Below are 17,247 nucleotides of genomic sequence, written 5' to 3' on the forward strand. Positions count from 1 at the left end.
TGTATTTCTGTGGGATCGGTGGTGAAATCCCCTTTATCATTTTTTATTGCGTCTATTTTATTCTTCTCTTTTTATTAGTCTTGCTAGCGGTCTATCAATTTTGTTGATCCTTTCAAAAAACCAGCTCCTGGATTCATTAATTTTTTTGAAGGGTTTTTGTGTCTCTATTTCCTTCAGTTCTCCTCTGATTTTAGTTATTTCTTGCCTTCTTCTAGCTTTTGAATGTGTTTGCTCTTGCTTTTCTAGTTCTTTTAATTGTGATGTTAAGGTGTCAATTTTGGATCTTTCCTGCTTTCCCTTGTGGGCATTTAGTGCTATAAATTTCCCTCTACACACTGCTTTGAATGTGTCCCAGAGATTCTGGTATGTTGTGTCTTTGTTCTCATTGGTTTCAAAGAACATCTTTATTTCTGCCTTCATTTCGTTATGTACCCCATAGTCATTCAGGAGCAGGTTGTTCAGTTTCCATGTAGTTGAGCGGTTTTGAGTGAGTTTCTTAATCCTGAGTTCTAGTTTGATTGCACTGTCGTCTTAGAGATAGTTTGTTATAATTTCTGTTCTTTTACATTTGCTGAGGAGAGCTTTACTTCCAAATATGTGGTCAATTTTGGAATAGGTGTGATGTGGTGCTGAAAAGAATGTATATTTTGTTGATTTGGGGTGGAGAGTTCTGTAGATGTCTATTAGCTCTGCTTTCTTTTAATATCCTTTTCTTTCATTACCCTGGTTAGTATGTTGTTTTGGGGCATCTATCTATTTTCTACTCAACCTCCAGATATTTCCTGTTGTGACAAAGGACTTGATCCTTAGTCTTATTTCCTATCTATTTTCTATCTTTCCCTTTTTGTTTTTGTGTTCACAAAGCTGTTTGCCTACCCTGTGCCGATTCTTTTCCATGCCTGCTAGAGGAAACATCTTCAGTCTCTTTTTAACTCTTGTGGTAGTTACCTCCATATTTCTAAATAACCAGCTTATTCTGCTAGACCTTGGCTTTCTCCCCTAATGATTGCTCAGTATAGAAAGGTAATTTACTTCTCTTTCACTCTCCTCCCTCCATACCTTCCCACCATATACACACTCATGATGGAGACATGTCTCTTCTCATGTTCCCATGCCTCCATCATTCTGATACAGTTATTTCATATTTTTGGTTAAATCTGTCTTTAGTTTTTATGTTGGTATGACTGTAATTCCTGTTTATAGGGAAATCATGCAAGTATACAGTGATTTATTTTTGTTTCTAAATTTGTATTTTTTCTGTAGTTAATTTTTTGCTAATTTAATTTTGTTACCATTAATGTTTTCATCATGTATTCAATTCCAGACTCTCCTTTCAGTATCTGAATATTCTTGGCTGATACTTTCAGCCAAATTATTAATTGTATTCCTTTTTTCTTCCTAGTGATATTGACTGCTAAGTTTTTCTGACTTGCTTCAGAGTAGCTTAGTTTTTTTAAGGCCTGCTGTGCAATTTTTATCCTGGGATCTCCTCTTTGATTTTATTTTCTATATCCTCTGTCATTTCTTTTCTTGGAGCAACTCAAGAGTAGCTTCCTGGAAAAGGGTGATACAAACATTGAGACCTGTGCATCTGAAAATGTTTTGACTTTATTCCTCATTGCTCTATTTTCTGTCCTCTAGTTTTCCTAAAGAGAAGTCTGATGGCATTCTAATTTTTGTTACATTGTAGAAAGCTTTGTTTTTGTTTCAGTTTTGATTTCTCTGGATGGTTTTAAGAACTGCTTCTTGTCCTGTTAAGGAATGATGTTCCCTCTCAGTTTATTTTTATCCATTTACTAGGTATTGAGATGTTATTCCCAGGAGGACTGGGAAGTAATCTGCATTGTTCTCTGCCATTTCTCTAGAAGTTAGCATAGTGTTTGGCACATAGTAGGTATTTAATTATTTTTTGAATAAATCTAATGTTCATAGATCCCTAATGACATGTTTATATTATCTTCATTGTTCCTTTTGCCTATTTTGCCTTCTTTATCCAATATGCAAAACTTTTAAACTTCTTATCAGTTTACTATGCCTATCTTCAGTTTGGTTTTTCTTTTTCTCAGTACCCAGTAGTTTGAGTGTTTTTATACCTGAGAATTTATTTATATTCAGATCTGATATCTGAAACTAAAAACCTCATGATATGGCATTTCACAGGGAACTTTCTAGTATACCACAATCATGTGATTTATAACATGTGACTAATTGTTCTTATTTCATAGGCAACTTTCTAGTATACCGCAATCATGTGATTTATAACATGTGACCAATTGTTCTCATTTCTAGACACAGTCTGGAAAATTGATGATCTTATGGATTGGCATCAGGAAAATAAAGACAAGCTGGGAAGTACGGCAAAAAGCTTTGAATGCACTACATTTGGAAAACTATGTCTTCTTAGTACAAAGTATCTTTCAAGACAAAAACCTCATAAATGTGGCACGCATGGAAAGAGTTTGAAATATATAGATTTCACTAGTGATTATGCTAGAAATAATCCTAATGGGTTTCAGGTACATGGAAAATCATTCTTCCATTCTAAACATGAGCAAACTGTTATTGGAATAAAATACTGTGAAAGTATTGAATCTGGAAAAACCGTCAATAAGAAATCGCAACTTATGTGCCAACAAATGTATATGGGCGAAAAACCCTTTGGATGCAGCTGTTGTGAGAAAGCCTTCAGCAGCAAGTCATACCTTCTAGTGCATCAGCAAACTCATGCCGAAGAGAAACCCTATGGTTGTAATGAATGTGGGAAAGACTTCAGTAGTAAATCATACCTCATTGTACATCAGAGAATTCATACAGGAGAGAAACTACATGAATGCAGTGAATGCAGGAAAACATTCAGTTTCCATTCACAGCTTGTTATACATCAGAGAATTCACACAGGTGAGAATCCCTATGAGTGCTGTGAATGTGGGAAAGTCTTCAGTAGGAAAGACCAGCTTGTTTCACACCAGAAAACTCATTCAGGACAGAAACCATATGTGTGTAATGAATGTGGGAAAGCTTTTGGTTTAAAATCACAGCTCATTATACATGAAAGAATTCATACAGGAGAGAAACCATATGAATGCAATGAATGTCAGAAAGCCTTTAATACAAAGTCAAACCTTATGGTACATCAGAGAACCCATACAGGGGAGAAACCTTATGTTTGTAGTGATTGTGGAAAAGCCTTTACATTCAAGTCACAGCTCATTGTACATCAGGGGATTCACACAGGAGTAAAGCCCTATGGGTGTATTCAGTGTGGTAAAGGATTCAGTTTGAAATCACAGCTCATTGTACATCAGAGAAGTCACACAGGAATGAAACCTTATGTATGCAATGAATGTGGCAAAGCCTTCAGGAGCAAGTCATACCTTATTATACATACAAGGACTCATACAGGAGAAAAACTCCATGAATGCAACAATTGTGGGAAAGCCTTCAGTTTTAAATCACAGCTCATTATACATCAGAGGATTCATACAGGAGAGAACCCCTATGAATGCCATGAATGTGGGAAAGCCTTCAGTCGGAAATACCAGCTTATTTCACACCAGAGAACTCATGCAGGAGAGAAGCCTTATGAATGCACCGACTGTGGAAAGGCTTTTGGTTTAAAGTCACAGCTTATTATACACCAGAGAACTCATACAGGGGAGAAACCATTTGAATGTAGTGAGTGTCAGAAAGCCTTTAATACAAAGTCAAACCTGATTGTACATCAGAGAACTCATACAGGAGAGAAACCCTATAGTTGTAATGAATGTGGAAAAGCCTTTACGTTCAAATCACAGCTCATTGTACATAAAGGAGTGCACACTGGAGTAAAACCCTATGGATGCAGTCAATGTGCAAAAACCTTTAGTTTGAAGTCCCAGCTCATTGTACATCAGAGAAGTCACACAGGAGTAAAACCATATGGATGCAGTGAGTGTGGGAAAGCCTTCAGGAGCAAGTCATACCTTATTATACATATGAGAACTCATACAGGAGAGAAACCACATGAGTGCAGGGAATGCGGGAAATCCTTTAGTTTCAATTCACAACTCATTGTGCATCAGAGAATTCACACAGGAGAAAATCCCTATGAATGCAGTGAATGTGGGAAAGCCTTTAATAGGAAAGACCAGCTCATTTCACATCAGCGAACTCATGCAGGGGAAAAGCCTTATGGGTGCAGTGAATGTGGGAAAGCTTTTAGCAGCAAGTCATACCTAATTATACACATGAGAACTCATTCAGGTGAAAAACCATATGAATGTAATGAATGTGGGAAAGCCTTCATTTGGAAATCACTACTCATTGTACATGAGCGAACTCATGCAGGGGTCAACCCTTATAAATGCAGTCAATGTGAGAAATCCTTCAGTGGGAAATTACGCCTTCTTGTACACCAGAGAATGCACACAAGAGAGAAACCATATGAATGCAGTGAGTGTGGAAAAGCCTTCATTAGGAATTCTCAACTCATTGTACATCAAAGAACTCATTCAGGAGAGAAACCCTATGGGTGCAATGAATGTGGGAAAACCTTCTCTCAAAAATCAATTCTCAGTGCACATCAGAGAACACATACAGGAGAGAAGCCTTGTAAGTGCACTGAATGTGGGAAAGCCTTTTGTTGGAAGTCACAGCTCATTATGCATCAGAGAACTCATGTAGATGACAAACATTGATAATTTTACGAAACTCTGAAAAGTGGATTCACAAGAGATAGAAACAATCATATATAAAGAGAAACTCTGTAAGTGGAATCATCTTGTCATCTTCCAGAAAACTCATACTGAATAGAAACTTTATGAATGCACAGCATATGGAAAGGCATCCACAGAAAGCTGTTCTTTACATGCAAAAAGATAGTAGACAATACACAGGAAAACTGAATTTAGTAACCACTCTGAAAATTTTTAGCAGCAAGTCATACCTTTTTTTAAAAAGTTCATACAGGTGAGGAACCATGTTAAACGTTGTAAAGTCATTTTACTAAAATAAGATTCACAAAGAGGAAACTTCATGAACCAGATGAATATAGAATAGACTTCTTTGAAATTCATAGTTTACAGAATTTTAATGAGAGAAATTATTGAGCTAATGAATGGCAGAATTAACAAAATTACAAACATTTTATGTATCGGAAGCATATACCTTGGAGGGACCATGCTATAAGGGAAAGTGTAAATCTAGAAATGAGAAACCCCTAGGGAAAAAATATATATAGGAGTGAACATCTTATGAATGTACCAAATAAACCACAGCTGGACTGTTAACCTCACCTTAGAAGCTTCATTCTAAAAAAAAAAAAAAAAAAAAAAAAAAAAACCAACCTGTTATTATATCTTAATATTAATTTTGAAGAATTATTTCTTTTAGGAATCATTTTAAGAAATTTTATTCCAGGTGTTCCAAAATTTCAGGAAAAGGTTTGAGAAAATTCTCAATTATAAATAATAAGATACAGATTATTTCATTGTACAAGTGAATCTAGTAAGGAGGTTAAGAATAAGAAATAACATCCCAGAGCCTACAGGGATATTTAGATATCTTCCTATGTGTACTACATAATATGAATTTTGCAGTTTGGCATTTTACTTGCGAATGCCATATGTGAGACAAAAATCATCTTCCAGAGATTTCAGTATCTCTGATACTGACAATATCTCTGATATGACAATATCATCTTCCAGAGATTTCTACTCTGCATACCAACATTGTTTCTTTGTGTCTTACCAAATGCAACTTGTTACTAGAATATGACTTACTAAAAATGCATTTCCACACTGCAAACATTTTTTAGGGCTATCTTCTGCCCTTTGGAAGCAGTCTTGGCAGCAACCTCTTTAGTAATCAATATAAGGCACACTTCATGTGTTTGTGTAGCCTGGAATCTATTCTACCTTCACAGGTTAGAACATCTTGATTTCCTCTTAACGAAACATTCCCTAACGGTGTATGTAGTCATGAGGGAACCACCATTCAAGATGCCCTGCTCAGGACTTGGCATGAGCACTATGGTCAGCTGAGGCTCAGAACTGTACATTGTTAATGGGTTTTTCAAGTTCAGAAAAGCAACATGAGCTTTTGTTCTGTGGTAGCATGTTGATGTAATAAGTAGCTATTTCAATAGAGGTTCCCAGAACAGCTTTTGTTACTGTCATTTTCTTAACTTTGTTCACTTGTCTTTTATTTTGAGCTATTGGGTGTGCTTTTAATACATTCCTTGTTTGATTGCATTAGCCATTGTGTATCTTTTGCATACAGCTTACTAAATCAGATGGCTTCAGAAATGGGTGGTAGAGGAGTAGGCAGAAACTTGCAAGGATATGTGGATATTTGGAAATGGTTGTTTCCCAAGACAGGATGGAAGTCTTTTAAGCAAGAAACTTGGCCCATGCTATGAAGTCATGAAATGAATTGTTGGCATCATGTGCTCACTGAGGCTTTGGGGAAATGGATAAGTTGTCATTGAAAAATTTTAAACAGAATTCTGGAGTGGTCAAGAGGGGAATGCTTTTGATACCCATGTATAACATGGAGAATAATGATCTTAAAACTTCAATTTAAGATTATGTGTCAGTGATACTACTTAGTTACATGTAGCTATAGAGTCACAGTGGTGAAAAACTCTGCCAGTTGCTTACTCACAAAGTTAGTTTTCTTCACTACCTCATCAGGTTTGTTATGTGAGTGGGCATTAATCTGGGAAGAGTGGGACCCTGCCAGTTAGATTAGGGCTATCTTGGAGGAATATGCGGATTCAATACTGCAAATATTTCTGAAACACCTTCTGCTTTGTACTCTATTAGATACCCAAAGAAATTTTCATCCTTGAAGCGGAGGAATTTAATGATACCTGAATGCCTAACTGTTGTATTCTGCTTATACAGAATCCAATCTCAAGATACTTGGGGTGAAGAATGATGATTCACAGAAGGGAAGGGACATCTTACATAAACAAATAATCGCAGATACTTGCTAAAGTGTATCCCCCAATCTGGGAAATACTGTAAAGGTGTATATTATTATTGATGTACCAAAGAAGACAGAATAAATTCATAAGAGAAAGTTTATATTCAGTTTACTACTACCTAGGGTTAGATTTTAGTTTGTTGTTTTTTCAGATGCAAATCTACATGCAGCCTTGCCTGGTAGAAGCCAGAAGTGTTGACAGTATTGAGGACAGCACTCACATACTGTGGGAAAGAATAATACTTGATTAGGACTTATTATTTAATGAAATGAAAATTTTACAAAACAGAAATTGAGTTACTGGTTTGTAAATCTATCTAGTCCTTCTACCCCAGCCCCAGAAAAGAAAGACATTCCAGAGACTTTTCAGGAATAGTTATTATAAGGAAAATCCAAGGAAAAATAACCCCAATATTTTACAACTTCCCCATCAAATAGAAATTTAGGAGAAAAAATGACTTGCAAACCATATTTGTGAACATAGGTTTAAAAATCCATATTTGTGAACATAGGTTTAAAAATCCATATTTGTGAACATAGGTTTAAAAATTCTAAATGGAATTATAGCAAACCAATGTATAGCTAACAAGAAAGTCATGATATTAGGTTTAACAGACTATTAGTGGATCCAGCATCCTTTGTTCATTACCAGCAGAATCACTATTATTTATAATGGCAGTATGCCCACTTAAAAAGAGATATATGGGGCCAGGCACGGTGGCTCACACCTATAATCCCAGCACTTCAGGAGGCTGAGATGGTGGATCACCTGAGGTCAGGAGTTTGAGACCAGCCTGGCCAACATGGTGAAACCCCTCTCTACTAAAAATACAAAAAAATAGCAGGGCATGGTAACTGACACCTATAATCCCAGCTACTTGGGAGGCTGGGACGGGAGAATCACTTGAATCTAGGAGGCGGAAGTTGCAGTGAGCTGAGATCGTACCACTGTACTCCACCCTGGGTGACAGAACTAGACCCTGTCTCAAAAAACAGAAGAGTATGTTTGGAAGATTTAATATTAGAAAATATTTTAATTAACTACCAGATAAAACTCATAAGGATTATCTCAGTATATGCTGATAAATCACTTGATGGAATTTAACACCCATAGATGACACTAAAATACTATTAAGTTGGGAATTAAAATTAACTCCTGTAACTTGGTAGGGAATATATGTTCTGAAAACACAAATGTCATACTTAATGATAAAATAGTAGAAAGATTCCTTTAAAGTAAAATTAGCCAGGTGCAGTGGCTCATCCATGTAATACCAGCACTTGGGAAGGCTGAGGCTGGAGGATTGCTGGAACCCAGGAGTTCGAGACAAGCCTGACCAATATAGGGAGACCCTGTCTGTACAAAAACTTTTTAAAAAGATTAGCCAGGTGTGGTCAGGCGCCGTGGCTCATGCCTGTAATCCCAGCACTTTGGGAGGCCGAGGTGGGCAGATCACTTGAGGTCAGGATTTCAAGACCAGTGTGGCTAACATGGTGAAACCCCGTCTCTACTAAAAATACAAAAGTCAGCCAGGTGTGGTGGCACGTGCCTGTAATCCCATCTACTCGGGAGGCTGAGGCAGAAGAATTGCTTGAACCTAGGAGGTGGCAGTTGCAGTGAGCCAAGATTGCACCACTGCACTCCAGGCTGGGCGACAGAACAAGCCTCCATCTCAAAAAAAAGATCAGCCAGGTGTAGTGGCAAGTGCCGGTAGTCCCACCTACTGAGGAGGCTGAGGCAGGAGGTTAGCTTGAGTCCAGTAGTTCAAGGCTACAGTGAGCTATGATCATGCCCCTGCACTCCATCCTGGGCAACAAAGTGAGACCCTGTCTGTAAAAAACAAAGCAAAATTACAAGAATGCGCATCACTTTTATGAAATGAGTAACATCTAGCCAAGGTGTGAAAACAAGGAATGTGAGGAATTAGGGATGGGTGCAGAAACAACTGCCATGAATTGGAGATGTGATCGTGTAATTAGGAAACCCAAAATAAACCACAAACAAATGTTTGGAACTGCCAGTAGAGTAGCAAGTATGCAGTTGTCAGTATTCATGGAGGACCCCCCCGCAACCACAGATACTCCCTGTGGATGCTCAAGCTCCTTATATGGCATAGTATTTGCATTTTTTTTTTTTTTTTTGAGATGGAGTCTCGCTGTATTGCCAGGCTGGAGTGCAGTGGTGTGTTCTTGGCTCACTGCAACCTCTGCCTCCTGGGTTCAAGCAATTCTCCTGCCTCAGCCTCCCTAGTAGCTGGAATTACAGGCACACGCCACCACGCCCAGCTAATTTTTGTGTTTTTAGTAGAGATGGGGTTTCACCATGTTGGCCAGGCTGGTCTTGAACTCCTGACCTCGTGATCCACCCTCAGCCTCCCAAAGTGCTGGGATTACAGGTGTGAGCCACTGGTCTGTATTGATTTTTCTTAATTCTTTGCTAAAGGGCCAGGTAGAGTTATTTATTTCTTGTAGAGATGGGGTTTTACCATGTTTTCCAGTCTGGTTTCAAACTCCTGGGCTCAAGCAGTCCACCTGCCTTGGCCTCCCAAAGTGCTAGGATTACAGGTGTGAGCCAAGCACCCAGCCATAAATCTTAAATAAATTCTGATTTTGGTATAAATGATATATTTAAATTTAAATGAAGTTGCAAGTTTTAACATGTCTACTCTTTAATTTTCAACATTGTTTCAACTACTTGTTAGAAACACAGGCCATTAAAACATTAATAAAAAGGCTGGGCATGGTGGCTCATGCCTGTAATCTCAGCATTTTGTGAGGCTGAGGCAGGTGGATGACTTGAGGTCAGGAGTTCGAGACCAGCCTGGTGAAACCCCGTCTCTACTAAAAATACAAAAATTGGCCAGCTGTGGTGGCATGCATCTATAATCCAAGCTACTCAGGAGAATTGCTTGAACTGGAGAGGCGGAGGTTGCAGTGAGCTGAGATTGTGCCATTGCACTCCAGCCCGGGCAGCAGAGTGAGACTCCTTCAAAAAAAATTAATAAAAGCAAGCACATAGGGTGCACATTTGCCCTTCCCTCTTGGGATCCAGGGTGATCCCACAGGTGCTGTTCATCCCCAACTTTGACCTGGACTGTTGCAGTGTTTTGTCGCAGTGTTTCTCCCTTTTTTTGTACTGGGATTTCTCCCCAGAAACAAACCCATATGTATAAAAAGTAGTTGGGCTTGCTATAAAGATGACTAGTGGAAACCTCAATAGAGGTACGATTTCCTAAAATAAATCTTGTTCAGATATTACAGGGCAAAGTGAAACAGCAAAGCTCCCTCCTCAGCACTCAGGGTGCAGGCCTCACTTTTCCTCATCTTTTCCTCCTGTGGCCTCCATGTATCCCAAAGGTGAGATGACATCGCCCCAGATTGGTCCGGAAAGTGCACTGGTCGTCACTGTGGGTGTACCCTACAGGAGTCTTCAGATATGGAAGCTCTGGATCTCACTGTGATGTATCCCCCTAGGGGGTCCCCAGGTTGTGAGGAAAAGGAAGCTTTAGTCCTCACTGTGGTTGCATCCCCCACCACGGGTCAGTCCTGAGGAGGATACTCTGGTCATCACTGTGATCTACCTCCCAGGGGTCCCCAGGTTGGTCCTGAGGAGAAGGAAGCTCAGAACCTCACTGTGGATTTGCCCCACTAGGGTCCCTAGGTCAGTCCTGAAGAGAAACAAGCTCCAGTCTTCACTGTGGTTGTGCCCCACAGTGGTCCTCAGGTTGGCCAGTGGAGAAGGAAGCTCTGGTTCTCAGTGTGATGCATCCCCCAGGTTGGTCCTGAGATGAGGTAAATTCTGGTCATCACTGTGAAGTGCCCTCGGGGGTCTCCGGGTCCTGAGTAGAAGCAAGGTCTGTTTGTCACTGTGGATTCCCCCCTGCCAAGGGTCCCCAGGTCAGTCCTGAGGAGAAGGCAGCTCAGTCTTTACTGTGATGCAGCCTCTAGTGATCCCCAGGTCCTGAGTAGAAGGAAGGCCTGGTCCTCTGTGGATTCAACCCAGAGGTCTGTGAGCAGAATGCAGGTACTGCAAGCAGGCTAGACAAGGTGTGTGCTTGCACCCCTTCCTTACTACCTAGGCACAGTGTTGGATGGTCAGTGCTTCCTGTTTTGTGATGGCCATGTGCCCCCTCTTGCAGTCCCAGTGAACCCCTGAAATTCAATCTTACGATTTTCCATGCCATAATTTTGGAAAACGAAACTGAAATAGAGTCCATCATTCCATGCCTTAATTGGAATGGATAGAGATAATAAAAGGCAAAGTAGATGGCCATAGACAAAAGTCAAGTGATTTCCTATATATTTGAAATAATGTATAGCAATAATTGGAATTTGTAATGAATAAAATCATTCAAAAAAATCTGAAAAAGTGTTTGTATGCAAAATATAAAAAAAAAACCCTAAAATTGAACAAGAAGACAACCCAATTAAAAATGGGGACAGATCCAAATACATACTTTCCAAAGATATACAGATGGTGGCCAGGCACGGTGGCTCACGCCTGTAATCCCAGCACTTTGGGAGGCCGAGGCGGGCAGATCACCTGAGGTCCGGAGTTCGAGACCAGCCTGACCAACATGGAGAAACCCTGTCTCTACTAAAAATACAAAATTAGCCAGGCGTGGTGGCGCTACTCTGCCACCAAGTGGTAGCTACTCCGGAGGCGGAGGCAGGAGAATGGCTTGAACCCGGGAGGCGGAGGTTGCTGTGAGCCGAGATCGCGCCATTGCACTCCAGCCTGGGCAACAAGAGTGAAACTCCGTCTCAAAAAAAAAAAAAAGAAGATATACAGATGGCAAATAAGCATACCAAATAATGCTCAGTGACACTTGTCATGAGGGAAAAGCAAATTAAAACAACGAGATAGCACCGCACATCTATTAAAGTGACTATAATCTAAAAATAAGTAAATTTGCAATTGCAACAGGAACTCTCATTCATTGCTGGTGCAATGCATAATAGTATAGCCACTTTGGAAGATAGTTTGACTTTTCCCCAAAGCTAAACAAAGCTTCACAATATGAGCCAACAATCACACTCCTAGGTATTTAGATAACTGCTTTGAAAACATAGGAGTTTGATCTAAACAAAACCCAGCATGTACTCACGTACAGCAGCTCTTTTCATAACAGACAAATACTTTAAGGAATCAGGATAACCTTCAATAGGTGAATGACTAACTAGGCTGGGGTACATCCATGCAATGGAGTCCTGTTCAGCAAGAGCAAGCTCTGAGGCCATGCAGGACATGGATGAATCTGATAGGCATATTGCTAAGTGAAAGAGACCAGTGTGAAAAGGCTGTATGATCCTATTTCTATGATGTTATGGAAAAGCAGAAACTACAGGGGTAGCAAACATATCTGTGATTGATGACGGTTTGTAGAGGGCAGGGAGTGAGTTAAATAGGAGGATATAATGATAGAAACAGGCACAAATGGGCCTTTGGAGAGTGTACTCCCTCTGCTTGGTGAAATTATGCTGGGTGTGTGTGGAAGAGCCTGGGATGTATAATGCCAGCATGAACAAAAAGGCCACTTATCACTCCAGGAGAGCAGGGTGTTCTTTCATCACACATGAAATTATTTCAGGATCAGTTCCAAGGGAGACTTTCATGTGTGATTTTATATATATATATATATATATATATATATATATATATATATATATATATATATGTATATATACACACACACATACACACATATATACACATATATATACACATATACACATATATATACACATATATATAATAAGAACATTTACCATTTTAACTATTTTTAAGTGTACACTTCAGTGGCATGAAGTACATTATTTCCATTATTGTGCAACTATCATTTTACATTCCACCAGCAGTGCACAAGGCTTCCAATTTCTCCACATACTTGCCAATATTAATTAGTTTGTTTCTCTCTCATTTCATAGGCATGATCATAACTCACTGCAGCCCCAACCTCCTGGGCTCAAGGGATCCTTCCACCTCAGCCTCCTGGGTAGCTGGAACTACAGGTGCCACTACACCCAAATAGTTTTTTGGTTTTTTTGAAATGGAGTTTCACTCTGTCACCCAGGCTGGAGTGCAGTGGCACCATTTCAGCTCACTGCAACCTCCGCCTCCTAGGTTTAAGTGATTCTCCTTCCTCGGCCTCCTGAGTAGCTGGGATTACAGGCATGTGCCACCATGTATGGCTATTTTTTGTATTTTTAGTAGAGACAGGGTTTCACCATGTTGGCCAGGCCAGGCTAGTCTCAAACTCCTGTCCTCAAGTGATCCACTTACCTTGGCCTCCCAAAGTGCTGGGATTACAGGCTTGAACCACTGCACTTGGCCTCCATATTTTTTATAATAGCCACTCTAACATGTATGAAATGGTATCTCATTGTGGTTTTGATTTTCCTTTACCTAATGGCTAGTGATGTTGAAAATCTTTTCATGTACTTCTTGGCACTGGATTTGGCAATGATTTATTGGATATGACACCAGAAGCATGGGAAACAAAAGAAAAAATAGGTAAATTGGACTTCACCAAAATTGAAAACTTTCGGCATCAGTGGACACTATCAAGAAAGTGAAAAGGAGCTGGGTGTGGTGGCTCACGCCTGTAATTCCAGCACTTTGGGAGGCCAAGGTGGGAGGATCACTTGAGGTCAGGAGTGCGAGACCAGCCTGGTTAACTTGGTGAAACCACGTCTCTACTAAAAATAAAAAAAAAGAGAAAAAAAAAAGCCGGGTGTGGTGGCATGTGCCTGTAATCCCAGCAACTCAGGAAGCTGAGGCAGGAGGATCGCTTGAAGCTGTGAGGTGGAGGTTGCAGTGAGCCGAGATCATGCTACTGCACTCCAGCCCAGGTGACAGAGCAAGAAAGCAAAATTCCATCTCAAAAAAAAAAAAAAGGCCGGGTGTGGTGGCTCACGCCTGTAATCCTAGCACTTTGGGAGGCTGAGGCAGGTGGATCACGAGGTCAGGAGATCGAAACCATCCTGGCTAATGTGGTGAAACCCTGTCTCTACAAAAAAATACAAAAAATTAGCCAGGCTGGTAGTGGAAGCCTGTAGTCCCAGCTACTTGGGAGGCTGAGGAAGGAGAATGGCGTGAACCTGGAACCAGTGAGCCCAGATCTCACCACTGCACTCCAGCCTGGGCGACAGAGCGAGACTCCGTCTCAAAAAAAAAAAAGGTGAATATAGGAGAAAAGACACTGTAAAATAATATACCTGATAAGGGTCTAGTATCCAGAACATATAAAGAACTCTTACAACCCAACAACAAAAAGACAACCCAATATCAAAATGGGCAGAGGACTTGAAGAGACTTTTCTGTAAAGAAGATATGCAAATAGCATATGAAACGATACTCAACATCACTAGCCATCATGGAAATATAAATCAAAAATACAATGAGATAACACTCCATACCCATCAGAATGTCTTATTATTTTAAAAACAAACCAGAAACAAGTATTGACAAAGAAGTGGAGAAATGTGAACACCGCTGTAAAATGGTAAAGCTGCTATGACTGACCCTTGCTACAACGTGGAGGAACCTCAGAAACATTGTGCTGAGAACCCAGCACAAGGCCACACACCTGTAATCCCAGCTACTCGGGAGGCTGAGGTGGGAGGGTCGCTTGAGCCTGGGAGTTCAAGTCCAGTCTGGGCAGCATAGCAAGACTCCATGTCTACAAAGATAAAAATAAAAGCAATGTGCAGAAAGAGGCTGGCCACAAAAAGGTCACATACTGTATGATACCACTTATATGAAATACCCAGAATGGGTAAATCCAAAGAGAGCATATTGGTGGTTGTCAAGGGTCGGAGGGAGGATGAAATGTGTGACAGCTGCTTAATGGATGGAGGATTTCCTTTGGGGTGATGAAACTATTTTGGAACTAAGAGGTGGTGGCTGCACAATGTTGTGCATGGACTAAATGTCACAGAAATGTACATTTTTAAAAGTTAATTTTATATTGTGTAAATTTTACCTCAATAAAAAAATCTAGTCCACAGCATTCCCTCACCAGGGTCAGCCCTCTTAGCCTCACATTTAAGTCCCTCCATAGCCCAGTGCTGCCTGGGCCTGGCCAACCACATTCCAGACATGTGCTCCAGCCACACCATCTGCCAGCTCCTAAACCCATGGCTGTTTCATCATTCCAGGTCCAGGTCACCTTCTGATGCCTTCACAGACACTAAGTGATCAGCAGTGCCTCCTTAGGGCACACAGGGTCTTTTGAAACTTGCATTGCTGGAATTCATAGCTCGGCACGTGGTATCCAAGGGTTGTCCCATTTCAATAAGGAGAAATCAGTGTTTTCTGACCATCACCATGCAGCTATCTTGCTCAGGTGACTCACAGCTATCTGCTAGGTATGGCTAGTTCCTTGTGCAGAGGGGAGGGCCAGGCTCAGGTGATTGAATGATTCACCTGCAATCACACAGCCTCCAAGTGAGGTTCACACTCAGGTTCCAGCCCAGAACCTCGTTTCCAGGTGCCACTCAAAGTTTGTGAGTCACATGAACCTGTGTCCAGGCCACACAGCAGAGGTAACCCAGCTGTGGGGGCACTTGTCTGGTCATGAGATGGCCCAAGTCCCACGTGAAGCCTCATGAGCCACACAGACCCTATCATAAATACACCAGCCTGGGGCTCCCCAGAGGCCAGCTCCAGGAAGTGGAATCATGCTAGTATTGTAATATTTAGTTAGAACTGAGGCCACCTGCAACTCGCTGCCATCTACACCGCTTCCACTCTCTGGTTGCTAACGATCAATGCTAGGGCCTGCCTCAACCCTGATGATTCAGCTCCACTGAAGCTCCCCAGAAACCTCCGGGGCTCTGCAGGCAAGCAGAGTGGGAGGGATGTTATCTGAGTCAGAAGGGGCTTTTGCCTTTGGAGGCCTGGGACTGTACGACTTTCTGCCCAGGTCACAGGAGGTATGGGAGCCCCCATGAGAGGTCCCTTGCTGTGGTTCACCGTCCAGAGAAGGACCAGCCTCTGGTTTTTCCTGCCTTCAAAACACCAGCACCTCAACCCCAGAACAGTCTGGATCCAGCCCTTACTGGGCAAGGGATCCCAATGCCAGCCCCAAACCCAGCAGTTAGGCCCTCCTGTGAACTGCCTGGAGCACCAGGTACAAGGATGGGGCACCCTGGGAGGGGCCATGATTACTTGGCACCAGCAGGGATATGGTGATCACCAGCAGAGACAGAGACACTGCTGGGGTTGAATTATATCCCCCAAATTCATATGTTCAAGTACTGACCCCCAGTAGCTGTGAATGCGGCCTTATATGGAAATAGGGTCTTTGCAGATGATAAATGTGAGATGAAGTAATTAAAGCCAGCCTTAATCCACTATGATTGTGTCCTTATAAAAAGGGGGAATTTGGACACAGACATGCATACAGGGAGGAAGGCTACTGAAGACTGAAGCTTCAATGTCACAAGCCAAGAAACAAGTAGAACTGGGGAGAGGCCTGGGGGCAATCCTTTCCACTCTTCAGAAAGAGCATGACTCAGTCTCCTGGATTTCCCAACTCGGAGACAACAAATCGTTGCTCTAAGCCTCTCAGTTTGTGGTGCTTTGTTACAGCAGCCCTAGGAAAGGAACACAGGCATGCTCCATCCACCACTCTCTCCAGACCACAGCTGCCTCCCAAGCCCACCCGAGAGGGTGAGTCAGGGAAGTAGGGCTCTTCATGGGCCACCACTGCTATTGGGTGGTCATTTCCACTCTGTCTGGAAGTCCTGGTCTCAGTTCTCAGTCTCCTGGTGCTGTTTTAGGCTCTACCTTGCTGTCCCTGGGGCTGCACCTGAGCCTCCACCCCTGTCCCTGGGGCTGTCCTGAGCTTCTACCTTGCTGTCACTGGAGCTGCCCTGAGCCCCCACCTCGCTGTCCCTGGAGTCCAGAAAGCCCAGGGCTGGCCAAACCCCACCCCTCATACCTCTCTTGGCCCCTCCTCCCAGCCATCAATCCACTGGAACAGCCATTATGTCCCTTCATTCTCTAGACAGGTGCCTCAGGAAGGCACAGAAAGGGGTCACACCACTTGGTCATGGTGCCTTACCTGTGTCCACTGGACTCAGGCTGGTCCTTTAATGGGATGAGGGCAGAACAGGCTGTGGGGCCACATCCCATTGTCAGAGAGGCCAGGGATAAAGCCAGAAAGGAGACAGGGGAAGGAAGGGCCTGTGGGCAGCAGTTCCTCCTCATAGGTGCTGAACAGAGAAAGTGAGGAGCCTCCAGCCTCCATCCTGGCAGGACCATCAACCACTGGT

At 41.9% G+C, this 17,247-nt stretch overlaps 1 protein-coding gene across 9 annotated transcripts in view; it reads left to right on the forward strand.

Moving 5' to 3' along the window:
• Positions 1-14,978, forward strand: part of ZNF268 (zinc finger protein 268) — a 33,338-nt gene extending 18,360 nt beyond the window's left edge. For all 9 annotated transcript variants that reach the window (NM_152943.3, NM_003415.3, NM_001165885.2 and 6 more), the window contains one exon: positions 2,290-14,978. In NM_152943.3, the coding sequence (NP_694422.2) occupies positions 2,290-2,308 (19 nt within the window). In that variant the 3' untranslated portion in view covers positions 2,309-14,978. The remainder of the gene's footprint in view (positions 1-2,289) is intronic.
• The last annotated feature ends 2,269 nt before the right edge of the window (positions 14,979-17,247 follow it).

Source organism: Homo sapiens, chromosome 12, assembly GCF_000001405.40.
Source record: "Homo sapiens chromosome 12, GRCh38.p14 Primary Assembly".
Classification (NCBI taxonomy): Eukaryota; Metazoa; Chordata; class Mammalia; order Primates; family Hominidae; genus Homo; species Homo sapiens.